Consider the following 26068-nt stretch of genomic DNA (forward strand, 5'->3'; position numbering starts at 1 on the left):
TAATATGTTTATGAGATCATGAGAAACAGTGTACACATTCACAACACAGTAAAACTGAAACCACAGATTTTTCCCACTGTTCTTGTAATTAATGAAACATATGACTTGTTACAAACTGCCACAAAATTACTAGAAAGAATACAAGATTTTCTGAGTAATCTGAGAGAACGTTAATACGCTGTCACCTTGTTTACCCCCTTGAATCAATAATCCCCAGAAAGTGAGTCAAAAATTTCCTTATCTCATGAGTACTTTGTTTCCAGGTTATTTGACTGTCATTCCTCTTCTTATCTGGCCAAGATCTCTCTTTCAGCTAGTGGGATACAATTTCCAGAAAACAATTAATCTGGATGTAAGGGGAATATGGATGACATATTTTGAGGAATCTTCAAGAGCATCAGGAACAGCCCTGGCATTGGGGTGTTCAGAGTGCACTTGATCCATTAGAGCAGAGAATCAAAACCCAGGGGAACCAGAGATCTATAGTATACAAGATCATATAAGACTGTATGCAAAATTTTGAATGCACATTAGTGAGTACTTCGTTTGTTTTTTCATTGAGATAACTGAGATCCAAAAAGGTTATGAACCTTCAATATGGAAAACAAACACACACACACACACACACACACACACGAACATAAGCTACAGTAGAGAAGTTATAGTAAGATAGTAAGGAGGTAGTAAGATAAGGAGGTAGAGTCTAAGATAAGGAGGTAGAGTCTAAGGTAGTAAGATAAGGAGGTAAAGTCTAAGATAAGGAGGTAGAGTCTAAGGAGGCAGTAAGATAAGGAGGTAGAGTCTAAGGCTAAAACATCCTGGGTTATGATCCTGGCTCTCCCACTTATCAGCCATGTGGTATCCAAAGGTTACTTGGACTCCTTATTCCTAAATTTTCTTATCTGTAAAATAGGGAAAATATTAGCATCTACCTAATAGGGCTTTTGGGAGGATCAAATGAATGAAAATATGTAAAGTCTTGGAACAATGCCTAGAATATGGTGAACGCTATGTATATGTTAGCTATTATTATTATAAAATTCCGCTAGGCACTTGGAACAGAGTTTGAAACTTCAGGCTTCCAACTATGAAGCAAAAAAAAAAAAAAAAAAAAAAAAAAATCCCTTTTGGAGATAGGATAGAGAAGGCATTTTGTACCTGGAAAAAAATGTGTCTGGAAAATAACTCTTATTTTTTTTTTTTTTTTTTTTTGAGACGGAGTCTCGCTCTGTCACCCTGTCACCCAGGCTTGAGTGCAGTGGCGCGATCTGTGCTCACTGCAAGCTCCGCCTCCCGGGTTCACGCCATTCTCCTGCCTCAGCCTCCCAAGTAGCTGGGACTACAGGTGCCCGCCAACACACCCGGCTAATTTTTTGTATTTTTAGTAGAGACGGGGTTTCACGGTGTTAGCCAGGATGGTCTCGATCTCCTGACCTCGTGATCCCCCCGTCTCGGCCTCCCAAAGTACTGGGATTATGGGCGTGAGCCACCACGCCCGGCCTAATAACTCTTATTTCTAGATGAAGGAATGGAAAATTTAAATATCTACTATTGCATGGAGTCTATAAAAATATTGAGGTTTTTAAAAATTGATTTCAACTTAAAGAATTTTATAGAAAGAGTAACCTCTACAAATTTAGGTGCATCCTGAAACACACGCACACACAACTACAAAGCAGTCTACTTCTATGAAATTAAATAAAAATACTTTTATGAAACAAGTAAGAAAACCAAAAAGAGAGCAAAGGCTAGTTCAAGGATATAACAAGGTACAATGGATGAGAGACGGGTGGGATAAGAAATAATTTCACAGAAATTGAAAACACAGCTGAAAAGACAAATATCAATCTTCTTTGGCAGCAATAAGAAGCAGAATTGGCGTTGTAGAATATTGAGTTGGTGACATACTGGTCAAACTTGACAAGTTTCCCATAAGCCAGAGGGAAAGAGAAAACAATGAAGAACACAATAGATAATGAGAAGAAATAAGAAAGATGCAAACTAAGGATAACAGTTGTTCCTCAATATGCAAAAAAGAATGGAATCTAAAACAATAACAAAAAAACACAATTGCTATTTCCTTAGCTAAAAATCAAACAAACAATTAGAAAAATATAAATGTGGCTGGGTGTGGTGGCTCACGCCTGTAATCCTAGCACTTTGGGAGGCAGAGGTGGGTAGATCACCTGAGGTCAGGAGTTTGAGACCAGCCTGGCCAACATGGTGAAACCCCATCTCTACTAAAAATACAAAAATTAGCAGGGTGTGGCAGCGGGCAGCTACTCTGGAGGCTGAGGCAGGAGAATCGCTTGAACCCCAGGGGGCAGAGGTTGCAGTGCGCCAAGATCACACCACTGCACTCCAGCCTGGGTGAAAGAGTGAAACTCCGTTTCAAAAAAAAAAGAAAAGAAAAGAAAAACATAAATGTTCTGTGTGGAGAACACTATAGAGGTTCCTCAAAACAACTAAAAATAGAACTATCATGTGATCCAGGATTCTCACTTCTAGGTATATATCCCCCAAAAATAAAATCAATATATTGAAGAGATAACTGCACTCTCATGTTCATTGCAGCACTCTTCACTATAGCCAAGATTTGGAATCAACTTAAGTGTCCATCCACAGATGAATGGATAAACAAAATGTAGTATTTATCCACAATGGACTATTGTTCAGCAATAAAAAGAATAAAATCCTGTTATTTGCAACAACATGGATGAGGCTAGAGGATATTGTGTGAAGTGAAAAAAAAGCCAGGCACAGAAACACAGACTTCACATGTTCTCACTTATTTGTGGGAGCTAAAAATTAAAACAATTGAACTCCTGGAGATAGAGAGTAGAATGATAGTTACCAAAGGCTGGGAAGGGTAGTAGAGGGAAAGGACTCGGGGAGTGGGGATGATTACTGGGTGCAAAAATATAGTTAGATAGTATTTGGTAGCACAATTGAGTGACTACAGTCAACAGTAATTTACTACATATTTATAAATACCTAAAAGAGTAGAACTCTAATGTTCCTATCACAAAGAAATGATAAATACTTGAGGCGATGGTTGCCCCAATTGCCCTGAAGTGATTTTTACACACTGTATGCCTATATCAAAACATCACATGTACCACGTAAATATATATACCTACTATGTACACATAATAATTAAAAATAAAACATTAAAAAAATGTAAAAATGAGGTGGGATCATCACATGCCAGATTAACTCAGTGAAAAGAAAGCCACACTTTAATCTATGTAACTTTTTTCTTTTAGTTACAGGGCAAAAGAGAAACTCCTATCCGTGCTCAAGGGAAAAAATAATAACACACAAAACAGAAGGCGCCATCATGGGAGTTGACATCCACCACAACAAGGACTGATAGGTTCAGCGCAAGGAGCCCAAAAGCCAGGATATTGGTCTACCTGAGGCTGTTGGTCAAACTGTACAGGTTTCTGGTCAGACGGAACAACTCCACATTCAACCAGGTTGTGCTGAAGAGGTTGTTTATGAGTCGCACCAACCGACCACCTCTGTCCCTCTCCTGGATGATCCAGAACATAAAGCTTCCTGACCGGGAAAACAGAAAGGCTGTGGCTGTGGGGACCATAACGGATGACGTACGGGTTCAGGAGGTGCCCAAACTGAAGGTGTGTGCACTGCGCATGACCAGCCAGGCCCGCAGCGGCATCCTCGGGGCCGGGGGCAAGATCCTCACTTTTGACCAGCTGGCCCCTGATGCCCCGAAAGGCTGTGGCACCGTCCTGCTCTCTGGTCCTCGCAAGGGCTGAGAGGTGTACCGGCATTTTGGCAAGGCACCGGGAACCCCGTACAGCCACACCAAACCATACATCCGCTCCAAGGGCCGGAAGTTCGAGCGCACCAGAGGCCGACTGGCCAGCCGAGGCTACAAAAACTATAGATCCTATCCTCTTATTAAAGACTTTGGATGATGGAAAAAGAAAGAAAAGAAAAGAAAAAGAAAATGTTAAAAATATAAAATCTAGCTATGTTCAAAACAACAAAATCTGATTTTACTTGCACTACTGCTATAGTGTCAGGAAACAACAAAGCAAACTCAATACCATTTGAATGCAGTAAAACTGTGTATTCGCAAACCCGAGATGAATTAACAGAAAATTTACTAGAGAAACAAAGAGAATTGAGAAACTAAAAGGGCTGTAGGATGTCTTCCCCAGGTTTATGCTGTTTTAGTTACATTATTCTGTAAACTGGTTAGTGCACCTACAGAATCATTCAATTTGGCTATGGTTTTTGTGTTAGCCACGGCTTAAAATTATCCAGTTCCTCTTCACACTACCCATCTCCTTTAGTCATATTAAGTAATGAAAATTAAGGAACATTTATTTACGAGTCCTTGGTATGTTGGCAAAGACTGATCATACAAAAAAAATCACACCTCTTTTGCTCAAAAAATAAAAAAAGCTTTGATAAATTGCAAAATGCAGACATTATCATGCAATAAGCTTTGATAACTTAGAAAATAAACCTAGAAATTAAACCAAGATTGAAAAAAAAATAACCAAAACATCTGGAAGGTAAATTACTGCTCAGGAACTCTTGTAATACTTCAAGGATTCAAATGTAAACTGATAATATGAACTGTACAAAGAGAAAAATGTCCCTGTTTCATGCTCAAGGGAATGTTTCCTTCTGGCCAGCCACCAACTTCCATACATCCTTCTCTCCTCAGGGATCAGATGGCTCTGCCGGGATGCCTTCCTTGTCTTTCTGCCAGCTTAGTGATTGATTATCTATCTTTATTACCAAGTCAATCTGTACACTGAATGTGGAATGGATTCAGCAGTCAAAGGAAGAAGTGGAAAAACAAGATATGATACGGCTTAGGTAAAAATCCGTTTTAAGCAGCAGCATCCTAAGTCTGTAGCAATCCCACTTGGCTGTACAAAGAGGTGAGCTTCTCTTGTTTTGCATGCAAATGCAGAGTGCTCTCAAATGCTAGAAATATGTTTTTTACAGAGAGAGATATCAGCAGCCAAGTCACCCTCTTCACAAATATCCCCCCAAAACAATAAATTAAATGGTTACGTTAAGAGAAACAGATAATTTCCCTCTGTCCCTTCCAAAATGGAATGTTATGGTGTGGCCCCTATGACTGAACACCTAGAGGAGTAGCAGTCCGAGAGACAGGATAGGACTGGATACCCATACAACCTGGGAATAAAGCTAGAAAACTGGTTGTGTTTTTTCCAAAGAAGCAAAGCAGCTGTAGAACATTCAAGTCCAGTCAAAATGTAAGCTCAGAAATCAGCGGGGAAAATAAAACTATATTAACGTCACATAACTAGAAAAAGCTGTTGGCAAAAGAGATTTTAGATCTCCATTATAGGCCCAAAATGGCTGTTTCCTACTCCTAAGCAAACAATGACATTTGGTCTATTAAGAAAAAATGAAGGCCTTGAGAGAAAACAGGATGTAGGTTAGTTTTTGCATTTTTGTTTTTCCTTCTACTTCTTTATGAATATGAGGTGGGGAGACTTAAAGAGGAAGAGCCCAGGAAGGGTTTGTGGGAGAAAGAAATGTACGGAATGCCAGAATAAGATTTGGGAGAAGAGAATGTGTTGCAGGACAATAAATACTTTGAAGGTTTTCTGTTGTTTTCATTCTAAAGGGTGACATTCCAAATAAGAACAAAAATGAGCAATGGAGCTAAAGAAATCCTATCAGACAGGTAAACTGTGGATATCGCAGGTGCTCTTCCTTTGTTCTGTTTTAGTGCTCCATGCTTATTCCTTAACACATGGTAATGTAATTGTTTGAAGGTGTGTGTCTATTTTCATTAGACTCAGAGACTCAGAGGCGGGTCACCTGCTTGTCTCTTGGTTGTGCAACTTCCTCATTGAAATTACTGGTCATAAATATTGTCATATATATCCTCAAACCTCCAACTAACAGCAGAAATCCCCTGCAAGCTCTTAACTGAGACACCTTTGAATAGCTTCAGTGGCTATTCAAGTGGCCAAGAGCTCATTACCTATACAGATAATTTGGGTGATTTAATAGATTAACTCAACTACTCAATTGGGTAATTCAAATTATTACAATATACTAAACAAAATTCCCTTTCCTCCAGTGGTTTTATCACACAAAGCTAAACGGAATATATCTACTTTGCAGTGTCTCTTTAAAATCTAACTTCTGGCCGGGCGCGGTGGCTCACGCCTGTAATCCCAGCACTTTGGGAGGCCGAGGCGGGCGGATCACGAGGTCAAGAGATCGAGACCATCCCGGCTAAAACGGTGAAACCCCGTCTCTACTAAAAATACAAAAAAATTAGCCGGGCGTAGTGGCGGGCGCCTGTAGTCCCAGCTACTTGGGAGGCTGAGGCAGGAGAATGGCGTGAACCCGGGAGGCGGAGCTTGCAGTGAGCCGAGATCCCGCCACTGCACTCCAGCCTGGGCGACAGAGCGAGACTCCGTCTCAAAAAAAAAAAAAAAAAAATCTAACTTCTGCTAGCATATATCCTCTTTGTCATCATTATTATAAACAATTTACAGATGCAGAAACTGAGGCTGAAAAACATTAAACACCTTACCCAAGGTCAGATTGCCAAGGTTAATGGCTATTCTGGGACTTAAACTCAGATCTCTTTTATTTCATAATTTATGAACATAAACACTATGCTGTCCTGAAAATAACTACATTTTCTTTAAAAGCATCTTTTTATAAGTGGCTTCTACAGCACTATAAATCTCAAAATTCTTTCTCCATATACCATTTAATTTGTCAGTTTCTTTCTCAAAATGTGGCCCTGAAATTAACAAAATGTTGTCAGTTAAAGACGGAGTTCAGGGGGATTATCACCAAATTTGGTTTGGACCCCAGAAGTCTATCTTAGTAAACTAAAATTGTGTGGGTGTTACCAAACTTGTATTTTGTGATAAACAAAAGTTTCAGATCATTTTTATATAAATTTCTTCAAAGAAAGATCTTCCCAATCTAGTTATAAAATTTATTGTTTTAACTAAAATGCAAGATCATTTATCTTTGTTAAATGTCATCATTTTGTATTAAGCCTGCACAATCATTTTAAAATTTGATTGTGACATCTATCATATTAGCTAGTCTCTGAATTTTATGTCATCTGCAAATTTGATAACCATGTTTTCTAAGCATTAAGTCATGTCATTGCTATAATATTAAAAGGACAAGATAAATCAGAGAGGTTACAAATATTCTATTAGAAATGGCCCTGAGTACAAAAAGAACTAAACTTGTCTGGAAAAATTGCTCAAATTTGTAGGACGGTGATCCAGACAATACTTCGCCATATTATTAACCAAGAAACAAGAGTAACCTTTAGTTAAATGCTGTGTAGAAATTATCATACCCTACATGTCAACCTTTTCAAAACAGAATAATTTGTTCTTACATATTCTTAATTAATAAACCCATATTGGCTCCTGCTCACATCATCTTTTCTACAGGCTCAGAAAACATAGGGTTAGTAATACACTCTGAAGTTTTCAGGGAGCAAATATCGTGTGTTTGGGGATCTTGTTTCTGGGAAAGGAAAACACAGGTCTTTCAGTGGAAGATACAGTGAAAACACGCTAATATTCTCTGTGGTTCCACTTTTTTTGTTTGTTTGTTTTTGTTGTTGTTGTTGTTGTTGTTTTGAGACGGAGTCTCGCTCTGTCGCCCAGGCTGGAGTGCAGAGGCACGATCTTGGCTCACTGCAAGCTCCACCTCCCAGGTTCACACCATTCTCCTGCCTCAGCCTCCCGAGTTGCTGGGACTACAGGTGCCTGCCACCACGCCCGGCTAATTTTTTTGTATTTTTAGTAGAGACAGAGTTTCACTGTGTTAGCCAGGATGGTCTCAATCTCCTGACCTCGTGATTCGCCCGCCTCGGCCTCCCAAAGTGCTGGGATTACAGGCATGAGCCACCGCACCTGGCAGGTACCATGTTTTTTAGTATTACATGATGGTCTTTCATTTTCATCAACAGACAAACCCTGACCATTTTATCAACTTCACAATAATATGTGCCTATCTTTTATATGTTTGAATATTTTGAAACTTTCTCATTGTCTTACACATGTACAATGTAAGGGTGTTATGAAACCAGAAGACAGACTATATAGAACTGGCATAGAAACAGTCTAAATTCCTTAATATTGCCAAAGCAATATGCCATTCAAAATACATCTTGTCATTTCAAACCTTCCTAATAATTTACTATACTGGCCTATTCTTCAAAAAGATAAACTCATCATCCTATAGTACTTTATTTTAAAATCTATCTCCTCTTACAATAAGGATTTTTTAAAAGTTTTCCAATCAAAATCGTAGATTTAACCCAATATTATATTTGAACTCTTATTCAGTGAGCCTTGGTTTCAGCAGGTGGATGTGTGTAAGTCCTCATTTTACATTTTATGATTTTTATTGATTTTGACCTTGCATGATTTAGCTATTTCAGTCTGTCTTTTGTTTCTTTTGAAATAGGAATTGGCCTTCTCTGAACCTTCTCTGGATCTCCAAGGTTTTGCACGTTTCTTAGGTATGTTAATTAGGCATTCTTGAAGTGTTGTCCCAGTGGGGATGCACTGATGACTTAGGTCATTTGAGTCTTCTCCATGCAATGGGAACGTGAATCTTACTGCAGTTCCGTCACGTTCCACATGATGGTGGCCTTGTCTCCGCAAACCGGACTTCAGGTCCCTGTGTGCTAAGTTTATTGGCCTCAATTTCAAGCTCTGGTAATAAAGCAGCTGTCAACTTGCCAGAGCCCCTGTGAAACAGCTGGGATTCTCAACTTGGGCTACATCCAACACCTGTGGCTACGATACAGGGATTGTGAGAGAGAGGACGCTTGACGAAGAGCAATGGGACTGTCTGAACATTCTCAAATTCTAATTTACTCAAGCATGTTTGGTTTTGAGTTTTACTTTTCTGTAGAATATTTTCCTAAAACAATTCAAATGTTGAGGATAGAGGATTGAGGTGCATAGTGAAAATTTAAATAATGCTGTGTTCTATACTGTGCTTATTAGGCTTTACTTCTAATCATTTACCTGTCTCTAGAGCCGTGCTTTCCGATACAGCAAACAAGCCACATGTTGCTCCTGAATACTTAAGATCTAGTCTGAATTGAGATCAGCAGTAAGTGTAAAATACACATGAAATTTCAAAGATTAAATATGAAAAAGATTATGTAAAAATTATACTTTAATATGAAAACATAATACTCTGGATATATTGGGTTAAATATATTACTAAAATTTATTTCACCTGTTACTTGTTACTTTTTTTTAAAGTGGCTACTAGAAATTTTTAAATTATAGGTTACTCGCTTTGGTGGCTCACATTATATTTCTGTTGAACTGAGCTGGTCTAGAAGCCTTGATGATGTTTACTAAACACTGAGAGTTCTTGTACTCCTTTGCAGTATTTTTCTCATGAAATCTCTCAATTCCTCAGTGTAGTTATCAGATGTACCCCAGAATCTGAATTTTCAGGAAGTGTTGGAGGCCTTGAATGGATACATTTTAGAAGGCTCCCAAAGAAAGCTTCATGATTATAACTGATCATCAGAATTATGTGGAGAAAGCATTATAATTTATTTATGATTCCCTCTACAGAAATGTTGATTCAATAAATGTGGGTTGTTGATATTTTGCTCTGTGTTTTTCTTTCTCTTTTCCTTCCTCTCCTATAGCTTTACCAATAAAGTAGGAGTGATACCCATGTAGGGAAATACTCTGTTGCCTGAAGAAACTGATGTGAAAGGAACATGATTATCAGGGGACTACCAAGAGATATGGGTTGAACAAGAGTCGAATGAAGGTTGGCACCTTCAGCTGTATTCCAGAGTTGTTCTGGTGTTTCAGAGTAGGGCATGTTCAATTATTTAATCAGAACATGAACGTAAATGAAAAATGAATCAATTCACCCTATGGTGTGAGAGGCTGATATATAACTATGAAAATTACATGGAATTTCTTCTTAATATTTTATTATCCCATAATTTAAAAATACATATATTGGACACACTTTAGATTGGAGAGCCATCAAGCCTTTCCCTCCATTACTTAAATACATCTTGTCTATATTTTGAAGCTGATGAATCTTCATTTAACATGTTTTCTTAGGAAAGAGGCCCCTGAAGAAGTAAAATGCATGAATTTGAAGTAGCCAACAGACTTGATGGGGTAGATGGGGCACTTCTAAGTATCACCTGAAGAAGAGGTGCTGGAATTCATTAGAAAAAACGGAGTTTAACAGGAAAGTATAAATATTTAGCAGAACTAAATTGAAATTCTGCTAAATATTTATACTTTTCTATTAAACCTCTATAAATTGATTTATATTCAATTCAATTGATTTATATCGATTTATATATTGATCCAGTCATTACCTTACCTGGCCATTCACAATATGGGTGCCTACAGATGTGTCAGATATTAAGGATAAAGCAAAAGAAAAAAATTAAAACGGTCTCTGCCTCCATAGATGAGCAAGGTCTCTCACACAAAAAATGCTCTTTAGCCAGAAGATTACCAGATGAAGGACATTTAGAATACTGTCTTCACTGTTGAAATACATAATTTTTAATCCAGAAAACAATATAATATAAAAAGCTAATAATAACTATGCTAACTAATACTTTTTAAACACCTACTAGCTATCACAAGTAGTGCTAACTGCTTTTCATAGATTATTTCTCAGGAATTGCTTAGGAGAGGTAGTATTATTGTCACTATTTTTGCTGATAGAAAAACTTAGGTTCATTGAGGTTAAGTTCAAAGTCACACAAGAATTACAACAGCTTGGATGTTAATGCAAGTTTTCTCGTGGGACTATTCCCAAATCCATTGAAGACTGTACAAAGAAAATACATTTGCTTGGCTTTATAAAAAGAAAACATATTAATCATCCAACATGGAGCCTCACCAAGGATCAGAGCAAAAGTTTCCTTACCTTGTGAGGTAATGGGATTGACATTACAAAGAATAAAAAAAAGAAGAAATTATTGTCATTTTTTGCATGTATTTTTCAGGAGTTGAGTTACTTCCAAATTATAGGTCACAGAACCAAATACAACTTTACAATATATATGTGTCCCACAACTTTAAAGACAAAAATGTGAAGTCAACAGCAAAGTTTTTATTATTCCACTCTTCCCTTTCTGCACCTCTATTCTGATGTCAGTATTATTTTCTGTTTCAAGAAGGGAAAATCATACAATGCAGGCTGGTCCAGGAACCTTGGCAAGAAAGGCAAACGTATTCAGTACTGAATCCTGGTAAATAGACAAGAGTAGAACATTCTAGAACAAGTCTAATCATAACAATCTCCAAGCTAAAGTGACTATAATGTCTAAGACTGTAAGAGTGCACTCGATTGGGAGGACATTGGTTATTCCAGGCATAATTCATTGCATCATGCATATTCTTCAAACTCTGCTTCATAAACTGGGATAGAACAAAGCAAGTGCATGGAAGACAAATGTTCCCCAAGGGAATTATACTTTTTATTTTCAGTATACAATAGATATGGACAGGGTGATATTCTTTGACTACAGTGCTGGGCTTATATCTACTTTACTAATTGCAATGTGTACTTGCATAGTTAGATGTTTGCTCAATGAGTACACCCGCCCAACATCCCTGAATGACAATATTTGTTCTAAACCAATATTGTAAGTAACAAAATTGCATTTACAGCTAATAATTCCTGGCCCAAAGCCACATTGTTCTAGTTCAATTGTTCAAAGATATGTCCTGACATCATTATTTTTTTGTTTGAAATGTTTGCTTGTTTTTGTTCTCTAGGTAATCACAATGTTCTATTCTGTTTAAAGACCTCAGGTTAAGATAATAAAGAAAAATATATATATATTTTTTTTTCTTATTATACTGTTAAGTTTTAGGGTACATGTGCACATTGTGCAGGTTAGTTACATATGTATACATGTGCCATGCTGGTGCGCTGCACCCACTAACTCGTCATCTAGCATTAGGTATATCTCCCAATGCTATCCCTCCCCCCTCCCCCCACCCCACAACAGACACTTCTCAAAAGAAGACATTTATGCAGCCAAAAAACACATGAAAAAATGCTCATCATCACTGGCCATCAGAGAAATGCAAATCAAAACCACAATGAGATACCATCTCACACCAGTTAGAATGGCAATCATTAAAAAGTCAGGAAACAACAGGTGCTGGAGAGGATGTGGAGAAATAGGAACACTTTTACACTGTTGGTGGGACTGTAAACTAGTTCAACCATTGTGGAAGTCAGTGTGGCGATTCCTCAGGGATCTAGAACTGGAAATACCATTTGACCCAGCCATCCCATTACTGGGTATATACCCAAAGGACTATAAATCATGCTGCTATAAAGAAAAATATATTTTAAAGTTATTTAGGTAAAAACTAATTTTCTTTTTTCTTTCTTTTTTTTGTTTTTGTTTTTGAGACGGAGTCTCACTCTGTCACCCAGGCTGGAGTGCAGTGGCGCGATCTCGGCTCACTGCAAGCTATGCCTCCCAGGGTATGCTATTCTCCTGCCTCAGCCTCCCAAGTAGCTGGGACTACAGATGCCTGCAACCACGCCCGGCTAATTTTTTGTATTTTTAGTGGAGATGGGGTTTCACCATGTTAGCCAGGATGGTCTCAGTCTCCTGATCTCATGATCTGCCTGCCTTGGGATAAAACTAATTTTCTATTGCTTGAGGATCTACAGTTTACAGGGCAAACTGACCACATATATGGTCGATCCTCATTCATAAACTCTGTATGTGCGAATTTGTCTACTCCCTAAAATTTATTTGTAACTTGAAAATAAATAATTGCAGCACTTTCACAGTCATTCATAGATGTGCATGCTCAACGCGGTGAAAAGTTTGGGTGGCCCAACTTCAAGTTCCCAACTGTGGTAGAAAAAGGTGACGCTTTGCTTTCCTGTTTTATCTCTTCTAATAAAAACATGTCCTTTTTCACAGCATATTTAGAGCTACATTTTTCACCTGATTGAGTTTTTTCTTGGTGAATTCACTGTTTAAATGGTCCCCTAGTATAGTGCTGAACTGCTGTCTAGTGTTCTTAAGCACAAGAAGTTTTGATGTGCCTTCTGGAGAAAATATGTGTGTTAGATATTCTTTGTTCAAGCGTGAGATGTAGTAATCATTGAATCTGAGTTCAATGTTAATGAATCACAATCCATATTGAAGAAGGTGTCTTTAAACAGAAACAAACATAAAACAAGGTTATTTATAGATTGATTGATGAAAATATTGTGAACAGAGGCTCACAGTAACGTGTCTCTATAATTCTTCTGGGAGTAATGGCTTAGTATCCACTAATTCAGTGTCCATGGCACCTTTACAGCACATAAAGACCACAAATAATAAGAATTGACTGCATGCATCTCTCTATAGAAATCCAAGTTTTTTTAAATATAACAGATAATTATATTTTTAAAAACACATCTAAGATTATATTGGAGGCTACTTCAGTTTCCTAATATTTAATCGATAAATAATATTTTAAAAGAAAAAAGAAAACTGCACAACAGCATTCCTCAGCATAATTTGATCAAGACTATGCTCAAACGTGGAGAGATGGAGTAAAGATAGTGGAACAGAAGGCTCCACCCATTGTCCCACCTAAAAGGACACCAATTTAACAGTTATCCAAATAAGCAAAACACCTTCATAAGAATCAAACATCAAATTGAAAGCAATATCTGCTTTTAACTTTTTATCACTGAAAAAGGCACTAAAGAGGTAGAAAAAACACCCTTGAATCGCTGACACCACTCTACCACAACCCCTGGCAATTGAGGGTGGTGCCCGGAGTGTCTCTGGGTGCTGGGGGAGGGAGAGCACAGAAATGTGAGGCATTGAACTCAGTGCTATCCTATTAATATTGGAGCAGAAAGAAAAACTGGATCAAATTCAGCTGACGCCCTCCCCTGGAGGGCACATTTAAATCAACCTTAGCTAGAGGGGAATTGCTGATCCCAGGGGTCCAAACTTGAGTTACCACAAACCTTGCCACCAAGGGTGAAAGGGCTCTGGGTCTCTAAGTAAACTTAAAAGGCAGTACAGGTCACAAAGACTGCAACTTTTAGGTGAGTCCTAGGTCTAAACTGGGCCCAGAGACAGTGGACTGGGGGTGGGGGGTGGGGGCACAGGACCTACTGAGACACTAGCTAGGGCAAGTAAGGGCATTCTGATGTCACCCCTCCCCTAACCCTAGCTGCACAACTTGTGGCTCCAAAGAGACCCCATTCTTCTGCTTTAGAAGAGGAGAAGGAAGAGTGGGGAGGACTTTTTCTAGTATTTTGGGTACCAGATTAGCCACAGCAGAATAGGACACCAGCCAGAGCTGTGAGGCTCCTGTTCTAAGCCCTAGCTCCAAGATGACATTTCTAGATACATCCTGGGCCAGAAGAAAACCTACCACCTTGAAGGGAAGGACACAGTCTTGGCAATATCCATCACCTGCTAACTGAAGAGCCCTTGGGCCTTGAATTAAAAGCAGCAGTATCCAGGTTCTACACCAGGGGTCTTGGGTGCCCCTCTAAGACTTGCTGGCTTCAAGTACTAGGTCCATCACAGTGGGTAGAGCACCAAGCAGGTCTTTGAGGTAACCGATTCTAGGACTTGACTCTTGGGTGGCATTTCTGGACTTGCCTTGGGCCAGAAGGGAGCCCACTACCCTGAATGGAAATTAGACAATATACTTCTGAATGACTAGTGGGCCAATGAAGATATTAAGAAGGAAACTGAAAAATTTCTTGAAATAAATTATAATGAAAACATAACACACCAAAACTAGTGGGCTACAACAAAAGCAGTACTAAGAATGAAGTTTATAGCTATAAGTGCCTACATTAAAAAAGAGGAGAAACTTCCAATAAAAATCTAACAATGCATCTTAAAGAACTAGGAAAGCAAGAACAAACCAAATCCAAAATTAGTAGAAGAAAATAAATAATAAAGATGACAGCAGAAATAAATGACATTAAAGTAAAGAAAACAATACAAAAGATTAAGGAAACAAAAAGCTGTTTTTTGAAAAGTTAAACACAATTGACAAAAATTTAACCAGACTGGCTAAGACAAAAAAAGAGAGAAAATCCAAATAAATAAGATCATAAATGCAAAAGGAGACATTACAACTAACACTGGAGAAATTCAAAGGATCATTAGTAGCTACTATGAGAAACAATTTGCCAATAAATTGGAAAATCTAGAAGAAATAGACAAATTACTAAACATATACAGCCTACCAAGATTGAACCAGGAAGAAATCCAAAACCTGAACAGATCAACAACAAGTAAGTGAATTGAAGCCACAATAAAAAGTCTCCCAGTAAAGAAAAGCCCAGGACCTGATGGCTTTGCTGCTGAATTCTACCAAATATTTAAAGAAGAACTAAAACCATTCCTACCCAAACTAATCTGAAAAATAGAAAAGGTAATACTTCCAAACTCATTCTGCAAGGTCAGTATTACCTTGATACCAAAACCAGACAAATATACATCAAAAAAAGAAAAAATCCAGGCCAAGATATCTGAAGAATATTGATGCAAAAATCCTCAACAAAATATGAGCAAACCAAATTCAACAACACGTTAGAAAGATCATTCATCATGACCAAGTGGAATTTGTCCCTGGGATGCATGGATGGTTCAACATACACAAATCAAGCAATACGACACATCATATCAACAGAATGAAGGATAAAAACCATACGATTATTTCAATTAATGGTGAAAAAGCATTTGATAAAATACATCTTTCTTTCATCATAAAAACCCTAAAAAATAGATATAGAAGGAATGTACCTCAACATAATAAAAGCCATACATGTCAGAGCCACAGATAGTATCATACTGAGTAGGGAAAAAAATTGAAAGTCTTTCCTTTAAGATCTGCAACACGACAAGGATAACCACTGTCACTGCTGTTATTCAACATAGTACTGGAAGTCCCAGCTAAAGCAATAAGGCAAGAGAAAGAAAGAATGAAAGAGTATCCAAATTGAAATGGAAGAAGTCAAATTATCCTTGTTTGCAGACTATGAAATCTTATATTTGAAAAAACCTAAAGACTCCAAAAAAAAACTATTTGAACTGATAAATTTAGCAATGTTGAAAAATATAAAATTAACATAGAAAGATCAGTAGCATTTCTATATGCCAACAGTAAACAATATGAAAAAGAATTAAAAAGTAATCTTATTTACAATAGCCACATGAGATTAAATATCTAACAAGTAACGTGACCAAAGAAGTAAAAGATCTCTACAATAAAAACTATAAAACACTAATGAAATAAATTGAAGAGGACACAAGAAATGGAAAGATATTTCATGTTCATGGATTGGAAGAATAAACATTGCTAAAATGTCCATACCACCCAAAGCAATCTACAGATTCAGTGCAGTCCCTATCAAAATATGACATTCTTCACAGAAATAGAAAAAAAATTCCAAAACTTTATGGAATGAAAAAGGACTCAGAATAGCCACAGCTATGCTAAGCACAAAAGCAAAACTGAAGGAATCACATTTCCTGACTTGAAATTATACTATGGAGCTATAGTAACCCAGACACCATGATACTGGCATATAAATGAACATATAGACCATTGGAATAGAATAAAGAACCCCAAAATAAATCCACGCTTACAGTGAACTCACTTTTGACAAAGGGGTCAAGAACATACACTGAGGAAAAGACAGTCTCTTCAATTAATGCTGCTAGGCGTATGTTTATTGCAGCACTATTTGCAATAGCAAAGACATGGAACCAACCCAAATGCCCATCACTGATAGACTGGATAAAGAAAACATGGTACATATACACCATGGAATACTATGCAGACATAAAAAGGAATGAGAATATGTTCTTTGCAGGGACACGGATGAAGCTGGAAGACATCATCCTCAGCAAACTAACACAGAAACAGAAAACCAAACAACTCATGTTCTCACTCATAAGTGGGAGTTGAACATTGAGAAGACATGGACACAGTGAGGGGAACAACACACACCAGGGCCTGTTGAGGCATAGGGAGTGAGGGGAGGGAACTTAGAGGACAGGTCAATAGGTTCAGCAAACCACCATGGCACACGTATCCTCTGTAACAAACCTGCACATTCTGCATACATATCCCAGTTTTTTTTCCTTTTAAGAAGGAATAAAGAAAAAAATAGAGTTACCATATAAAAAATATATTAAAAATGATGCCGGGAAAACTGGATATCTATATGCAGAAGAATGAAACTATAAGCCTATCATTCACCATATTTGAAAATCGGTTAAAGACTTATATCTAAGATCTCAAACTATGAAACTACTACAAGAAAATATTGGGGAGCTGGCTGGGTGCGGTGGCTCATGCCTGTAATCCCAGCACTTTGGGAGGCCAAGGCAGGTGGATCACCTGAGGTCAGGAGTTCGAGACCAGCCTGGCCAACATGGTGAAACCCTGTCTCTACTGAAAATACAAAAATTAGCCAGGCATGGTGGTGGGCACCTGTAATCCCAGCTATTCAGGAGGCTGAGGCAGGAGAATTTCTGAACTCGGGAGGCAGAGGTTGCAGTGAACCGAGGTCATGCCACTGCACTCCAGCCCTCCAGCCTGGGTGACAGAGCGAGACTCTGTCTAAATAAATAAATAAATTAATTAATTAATTAATTAATTAAAAAAGAAAGAAAGGATGAAAGGAAGGAAGAGAGAAAGAAAGAGAAAGAAAGAGAAAGAAAGAAAGAAAGAAAGAAAGAAAGAAAGAAAGAAAGAAAGAAAGAAAGAAAGAAAGAAAGAGAAAAAAGAAAGAAAAAGAAAGAAAACATTGGGGAAACACTCTAAGACATTGGTCTGGGCAAAAAATTCTTGAGTAATATCCCACAAGCACAGGCAATCAAAGCACAAATGAACAAATGTGATCATATCAAGTTAAAAAGATTGTACACCAAAGTATACAATCAACAAAGTGAAGAGACAACACATGGAATAGGAGAAAATATTTGCAAACTACTCATCTGACAAGGGCTAATCTAATAACCAGAATATATAAGGTGCTTAGATAACGTTATAGCAAAAAAAAAAAAAAAAAAAAAAATCTAATAATCCCGTTTTAGAAAACGGGCAAAAGATTTGAGTAGACATTTCTCAAAAGAAAATATACAAATGGCAAACAGGCATATGGAAAGATATTCAAAATTATTGATCATCACACCAATAATTATTAACCATCACAATTATTAATCACTGATTTGCGGAAATGCACATCAAAACTACAATGCGATATCATCTCACCCCAGTTAAAATGGTTTATATCCAAAAGACAAGCAATAACAAATATTGGCAAGGGTGTGGAGAAAAGAGAACCCTTGTACACTGTTGGTGAGAATATAGATTAGTACAACTATGGAGAAGAGTTTGGAGGTTCCTCAAAAAACTAAAAATAGAGGTACCATATGATCCAGCAATCCCACTGCTGGGTACATACCCAAAAGAAAGGAAATCAGTATATCAAAAATACCTGCCCTCCCATGTTTTTTGTAGCACTATCCACAATAGCTACAATTTGGAAGCAACCTAAGTGTCCATTAACAGATGAATGGATAAGGAAAATATGATTCATATACACAATGGAGTATTAATCAGCCATAAAAATGAATGAGATCCTGTCATTTGCAACAACATGGATGGGAACTGGAGGTCATTATATTAAGTGGAATAGGCCAGGCACAGAAAGACAAACATCGCATGTACTCACCTATTTCTGGGATCTAGGAATCAAAACAATTGAACTCATGGATGTAGAGAGTAGAAGGATGGATACCAGAAACTGGGAAAGGTAGTGAGGGTTTGAGGGGGAAGTAAGGATAGCTAATGGGTAAAAAACAAAAATAGTTCAAAGGAATGAATATGACCCACTATCTGATACCACTACAGGGTGACTATAGTCAATAATAATTTAATTGTTACATTAATACATTAATAACTTAATTGTACATTTTTAAATAACAAAAGAGTGTAATTGGATTGTTTGTAACACAAAGGATAAATGCTTGAAGGGATGGATGATACCCCATTCTCCATGATGTGCTTATTTCACATTGCATGGGTGAATCAAAACATTTCATGTACCCCATAAATACATACACCCACTATGTACCCACAAAAATTAAAAATAAAAAATTTAAGAAACAAAAATAAGTACAAAAGTGACCACTAGAAAAAAAATGCAAATCTTCCTAGATGCCTTATTTTTCTTACGAATCAAAGAGGAAAGAATATATATCTTGTAGTAAAAGGAAGATAGCAAGTATAATACAAACAATTATAAAATGTATGGCAGACTGAGTCAAATCATATTAATCATACTAATAAATGTGAATAGCTTAACTTACCTAGTAAAAAATTTTTCAATTTATTACACAAAACAAGAAATAACTGAATGCTGTATATGTTAAACTAAATGATTTAGAAAGACCAAAGATGAATGATATAATAGCAGTAGCAATGAGAAAATGAGGGGTGCAATGCTGAAATCAGAAAGTGTAGAATTTTAGCCAATGTACATCAGTTGTGACAGAGAGAGTACTTTTTAATGCTAAACACCACAAGTCACAATGAAGGTATAATGCCTACAAATCTCTAGGCACTAAACAACATATCAACCACTTTCGTGAAGCAAAAACTATAGGATATTCAATATGACATAATTAGAAATAAAATAATGAGAGGCTAATGTACCATTCTCAGTACAAAGCAGAGCAATTGGTCAATAAATAAAAAGAAGACAGAAAAACTAAAGAACATAAACAATCTACATATGGATATGTATCAAAATGTACACCCTAGAATACACAAATTCACAAAAATGATCAAACATAAAGTTCAAAATCAAAGTTCACAATAAAAAGTCAGAAAATTTTGTAAAGTAGAGATATAGTACTCTCCTATCACAATTCAATAAGATCAAAAATTATTAACAAAAAATTTTAATCTCCTATTAAACAACTCTTTGGTGACAAGGGAAAACAAAAAAGTACAGAATTTCTTTAAAAATAAATGACAAGAGAAACACTACCTATCAGAATTTATTGAATATATTTTAAGCAATGATCAGAAGAAAATTAAATACATAAAACACTTTTATTAGTAAAAATGAAAGAATATGTATAAATAAATAGCAGCTCAATAATCTAGTAAAGCAGCACACCAACATGGCACATGTATACATATGTAACAAACCTGCACATTGTGCACATGTACACCAGAACTTAATGTATAATAAAAATATATATTAATAATAATAATAATAATCTAGTAAAGTTAAATAGCAGCTCAATAATCTAGTAAACTAACAACAAATTAAATCAGAAGAAAACATAAGAAACAAGGTTAAAAAAAGTTAAAAGCAAAAATTATTGTGGTAGTAGAACAGTAAGCCAAGTCATAGAAGTTATTTTTTAAAAAGTAAATACAAATATAGGCAATTTATTACCTAACTTGATCAAGAAGAAATAAGGAAAGAGCACAAATGAACAAATTAAGAAATTGTAAGGAGGAAATATCCAGTGAAACAAGAAATTAAAAATTACCACAAAAGTCTATTTTAATTTCAGCATTAACTTGAGGTAATTTAAAAATTACCACAAGGCAATTAACATGCTTATCACCTTGTTTACCTATCATTTTTATGGTCAGACATTTAAAATTAAGTGCCTTAGTTCTTTTAAAATATATAATACATTATTATTGACCATGTTAATTAATTTGATTTAATCATCCCACAGTGTGCACATATATCTAAGCATCACATTGTACCTCACGAATGTATATACATATGATTTGTCAATTAAAAATAATACTAATTTTAAAAATTACCGGGGGAGGAGCCAAGATGGCCGAATAGGAACAGCTCTGGTCCACAGCTCCCAGCGTGAGCAACGCAGAAGACGGGTGATTTCTGCATTTCCATCTGAGGTACCGGGTTCATCTCACTAGGGAGTGCCAGACAGTGGGCGCAGGTCAGTGGGTGCGCGCACCGTGCACGAGCCGAAGCAGGGTGAGACATTGCCTCATTTGGGAAGCGCAAGGGGTCAGGGAGTTCCCTTTCCGAGTCAAAGAAAGGGGTGATGGACGGCACCTGGAAAATCCGGTCGCTCCCACCCGAATACTGCGCTTTTCCGACAGGCTTAAAAAACGGCGCACCACGAGATTATATGCCGCACCTGGCTCGGAGGGTCCTACACCCACAGAGTCTCGCTGATTGCTAGCACAGCAGTCTGAGATCAAACTGCAAGGCGGCAGCGAGGCTGGGGGAGGGGCGCCCGCCATTGCCCAGGCTTGATTAGGTAAACAAAGCAACCTGGAAGCTCCAACTGGGCGGAGCCCACCACAGCTCAAGGAGGCCTGCCTGCCTGTGTAGGCTCCACCTCTGGGGGCAGGGCACAGACAAACAAAAAGACAGCAGTAACCTCTGCAGACTTAAATGTCCCTGTCTGACAGCTTTGAAGAGAGCAGTGGTTCTCCCAGCACACAGCTGGAGATCTGAGAACGGGCAGACTGCCTCCTCAAGTGGGTCCCTGACCCCTGACCCCTGAGCAGCCTAACTGGGAGGCACCCCCCAGCAGGGGCACAGTGACACCTCACAAGGCAGGGTATTCCAACAGACCTGCAGCTGAGGGTCCTGTCTGTTAGAAGGAAAACTAACAAACAGAAAGGACATCCACACCAAAAACCCATCTGTACATTACCATCATCAAAGACCAAAAGTAGATGAAACCACAAAGATGGGGAAAAAGCAGAACAGAAAAACTGGAAACTCTAAACAGCAGAGCGCCTCTCCTCCTCCAAAGGAACGCAGTTCCTCACCAGCAACGGAACAAAGCTGGATGGAGAATGACTTTGACGAGCTGAGAGAAGAAGGCTTCAGACGATCAAATTACTCTGAGCTACGGGAGGACATTCAAACCAAAGGCAAAGAAGTTGAAAACTTGAAAAAAAATTAGAAGAATGTATAACTAGAATAACCAATACAGAGAAGTGCTTAAAGGAGCTGATGGAGCTGAAAACCAAGGCTCGAGAACTACGTGAAGAATGCAGAAGCCTCAGGAGCCGATGCGATCAACTGGAAGAAAGGGTATCAGCGATGGAAGATGAAATGAATGAAATGAAGCGAGAAGGGAAGTTTAGAGAAAAAAGAATAAAAAGAAATGAGCAAAGCCTCCAAGAAATATGGGACTATGTGAAAAGACCAAATCTACATCTGACTGGTGTACCTGAAAGTGATGGGGAGAATAGAACCAAGATGGAAAGCACTCAGCAGGATATTATCCAGGAGAACTTCCCCAATCTAGCAAGGCAGGCCAACGTTCAGATTCAGGAAATACAGAGAACGCCACAAAGATACTCCTCGAGAAGAGCAACTCCAAGACACATAACTGTCAGATTCACCAAAGTTGAAATGAAGGAAAAAATGTTAAGGGCAGCCAGAGAGAAAGGTCGGGTTACCCTCAAAGGGAAGCCCATCAGAATAACAGCGGATCTCTTGGCAGAAACCCTACAAGCCAGAAGAGAGTGGGGGCCAATATTCAACATTCTTAAAGACAAGAATTTTCAAACCAGAATTTCACATCCAGCCAAACTAAGCTTCATAAGCGAAGGAGAAATAAAATACTTTACAGACAAGCAAATGCTGAGAGATTTTGTCACCACCAGGCCTGCCCTAAAAGAGCTCCTAAAGGAAGCACTAAACATGGAAAGGAACAACCAGTACCAGCCACTGCAAAATCATGCCAAAATGTAAAGACCATCGAGACTAGGAAGAAACCGCATCAACTAACAAGCAAAATAACCAGTTAACATCATAATGACAGGATCAAATTCACACACAACAATATTAACTTTAAATGTAAATGGACTAAATGCTCCAATTAAAAGACACAGACTGGCAAATTGGATAAAGAGTCAAGACCCATCGGTGTGCTGTATTCAGGAAACCCATCTCATGTGCAGAGACACATATAGGCTCAAAATAAAAGGATGGAGGAAGATCTACCAAGCAAATGGAAAACAAAAAAAGGCAGGAGTTGCAAAACGAGTCTCTGATAAAACAGACTTTAAACCAACAAAGATCAAAAGAGACAAAGAAGGCCATTACATAATGGTAAAGGGATCAATTCAGCAAGAAGAGCTAACTATCCTAAATATATATGCACCCAATACAGGAGCACCAAGATTCATAAAGCAAGTCCTGAGTGACCTACAAAGAGACTTAGACTCCCACACATTAATAATGGGAGACTTTAACACTCCACTGTCAACATTAGACAGATCAACGAGACAGAAAGTCAACAAGGATACCCAGGAATTGAACTCAGCTCTGCACCAAGCGGACCTAATAGACATCTACAGAACTCTCCACCCCAAATCAACAGAATATACATTTTTTTCAGCACCACACCACACCTATTCCAAAATTGACCCACATACTTGGAAGTAAAGCTCTCCTCAGCAAATGTAAAAGAACAGAAATTATAACAAACTATCTCTCAGACCACAGTGCAATCAAACTAGAACTCAGGACTAAGAATCTCACTCAAAACCGCTCAACTACATGGAAACTGAACAACCTGCTCCTGAATGACTACTGGGTACAAAACGAAATGAAGGCAGAAATAAAGATGTTCTTTGAAACCAACGAGAACAAAGACACAACATACCAGAATCTCTGGGACACATTCAAAGCAGTGTGTAGAGGGAAATTTATAGCACTAAATGCCCACAAGAGAAAGCAGGAAAGATCCAGAATTGACACCCTAACATCACAATTAAAAGAACTAGAAAAGCAAGAGCAAACACATTCTAAAGCTAGCAGAAGGCAAGAAATAACTAAAATCAGAGCAGAACTGAAGGAAATAGAGACACAAAAAACGCTTCAAAAAAGTAATGAATCCAGGAGCTGGTTTTTTGAAAGGATCAACAAAATTGATAGATTGCTAGCAAGACTAATAAAGAAAAAAAGAGAGAAGAATCTAATAGATGCAATAGAAAATGATAAAGGGGATATGACCACCGATCCCACAGAAATACAAACTACCATCAGAGAATACTACAAACACCTCTACGCAAATAAACTAGAAAATGTAGAAGAAATGGATAAATTCCTCGACACATACACTCTCCCAAGACTAAACCAGGAAGAAGTTGAATCTCTGAATAGACCAATAACGGGATCTGAAATTGTGGCAATAATCAATAGCTTACCAACCAAAAAGAGTCCAGGAACAGATGGATTCACAGCTGAATTCTACCAGAGGTACAAGGAGGAACTGGTACCATTCCTTCTGAAACTATTCCAATCAATAGAAAAAGAGGGAATCCTCCCTAACTCATTTTATGAGGCCAGCATCATTCTGATACCAAAGCCAGGCAGAGACACAACCAAAAAAGAGAATTTTAGACCAATATCCTTGATGAACATTGATGCAAAAATCCTCAATAAAATACTGGCAAAACGAATCCAGCAGCACATCAAAAAGCTTATCCACCGTGATCAAGTGGGCTTCATCACTGGGATGCAAGGCTGGTTCAATATACACATATCAATAAATGTAATCCAGCATATAAACAGAACCAAAGACAAAAACCACATGATTATCTCAATAGATGCAGAAAAAGCCTTTGACAAAATTCAACAACCCTTCATGCTAAAAACTCTCAATAAATTAGGTATTGATGGGACGTATTTCAAAATAATAAGAGCTATCTATGACAAACCCACAGCCAATATCATACTGAATGGGCAAAAACTGGAAGCATTCCCTTTGAAAACTGGCACAAGACAGGGATGCCCTCTCTCACCACTCCTATTCAACATACTGTTGGAAGTTCTGGCCAGGGCAATTAGGCAGGAGAAGGAAATAAAGGGTATTCAATTAGGAAAAGAGGAAGTCAGATTGTCCCTGTTTGCAGACGACATGATTGTATATCTAGAAAACCCCACTGTCTCAGCCCAAAATCTCCTTAAGCTGATAAGCAACTTCAGCAAAGTCTCAGGATACAAAATCAATGTACAAAAATCACAAGCATTCTTATACACCAGCAACAGACAAACAGAGAGCCAAATCATGAGTGAACTCCCATTCACAATTGCTTCAAAGAGAATAAAATACCTAGGAATCCACCTTACAAGGGATGTGAAGGACCTCTTCAAGGAGAACTACAAACCACTGCTCAGTGAAATAAAAGAGGATACAAAGAAATGGAAGAACATTCCATGCTCATGGGCAGGAAGAATCAATATCGTGAAAATGGCCATACTGCCCACGGTAATTTACAGATTCAATGCCATCCCCATCAAGCTACCAATGACTTTCTTCACAGAATTGGAAAAAACTACTTTAAAGTTCATATGGAACCAAAAAAGAGCCCGCATCGCCAAGTCAATCCTAAGCCAAAAGAGCAAAGCTGGAGGCATCACACTACCTGACTTCAAACTATACTACAAGGCTACAGTAACCAAAACAGCATGGTACTGGTACCAAAACAGAGATATAGATCAATGGAACAGAACAGAGCCCTCAGAAATAATGCCGCATATCTACAACTATCCGATCTTTGACAAACCTGAGAAAAACAAGCAATGGGGAAAGGATTCCCTATTTAATAAATGGTGCTAGGAAAACTGGCTAGCCATATGTAGAAAGCTGAAACTGGATCCCTTCCTTACACCTTATACAAAAATCAATTCAAGATGGATTAAAGACTTAAACGTTAGACCTAAAACCATAAAAACCCTAGAAGAAAACCTAGGCATTACCATTCAGGACATAGGCATGGGCAAGGACTTCATGTCTAAAACACCAAAAGCAATGGCAACAAAAGACAAAATTGACAAATGGGATCTAATTAAACTAAAGAGCTTCTGCACAGCAAAAAAAAACTACCATCAGAGTGAACAGGCAACCTACAAAATGGGAGAAAATTTTCACAACCTACTCATCTGACAAAGGGCTAATATCCAGAATCTACAATGAACTCCAACA

At 37.9% G+C, this 26068-nt stretch overlaps 1 long non-coding RNA gene and 1 pseudogene across 1 annotated transcript in view; one reads left to right on the plus strand and one right to left on the minus strand.

Annotated features, from left to right (window-relative positions):
- Positions 1-3637, minus strand: part of LOC349160 (uncharacterized) — a 265569-nt gene extending 261932 nt beyond the window's left edge. Inside the window, exon 1 of the long non-coding RNA NR_046103.1 lies at positions 3417-3637. This is a non-coding gene — a long non-coding RNA (uncharacterized LOC349160). The remainder of the gene's footprint in view (positions 1-3416) is intronic.
- RPL18P5 (ribosomal protein L18 pseudogene 5) lies at positions 3327-3944 on the plus strand (annotated as a pseudogene).

This window comes from Homo sapiens, chromosome 7 (assembly GCF_000001405.40).
Source record: "Homo sapiens chromosome 7, GRCh38.p14 Primary Assembly".
Taxonomy (NCBI): Eukaryota; Metazoa; Chordata; class Mammalia; order Primates; family Hominidae; genus Homo; species Homo sapiens.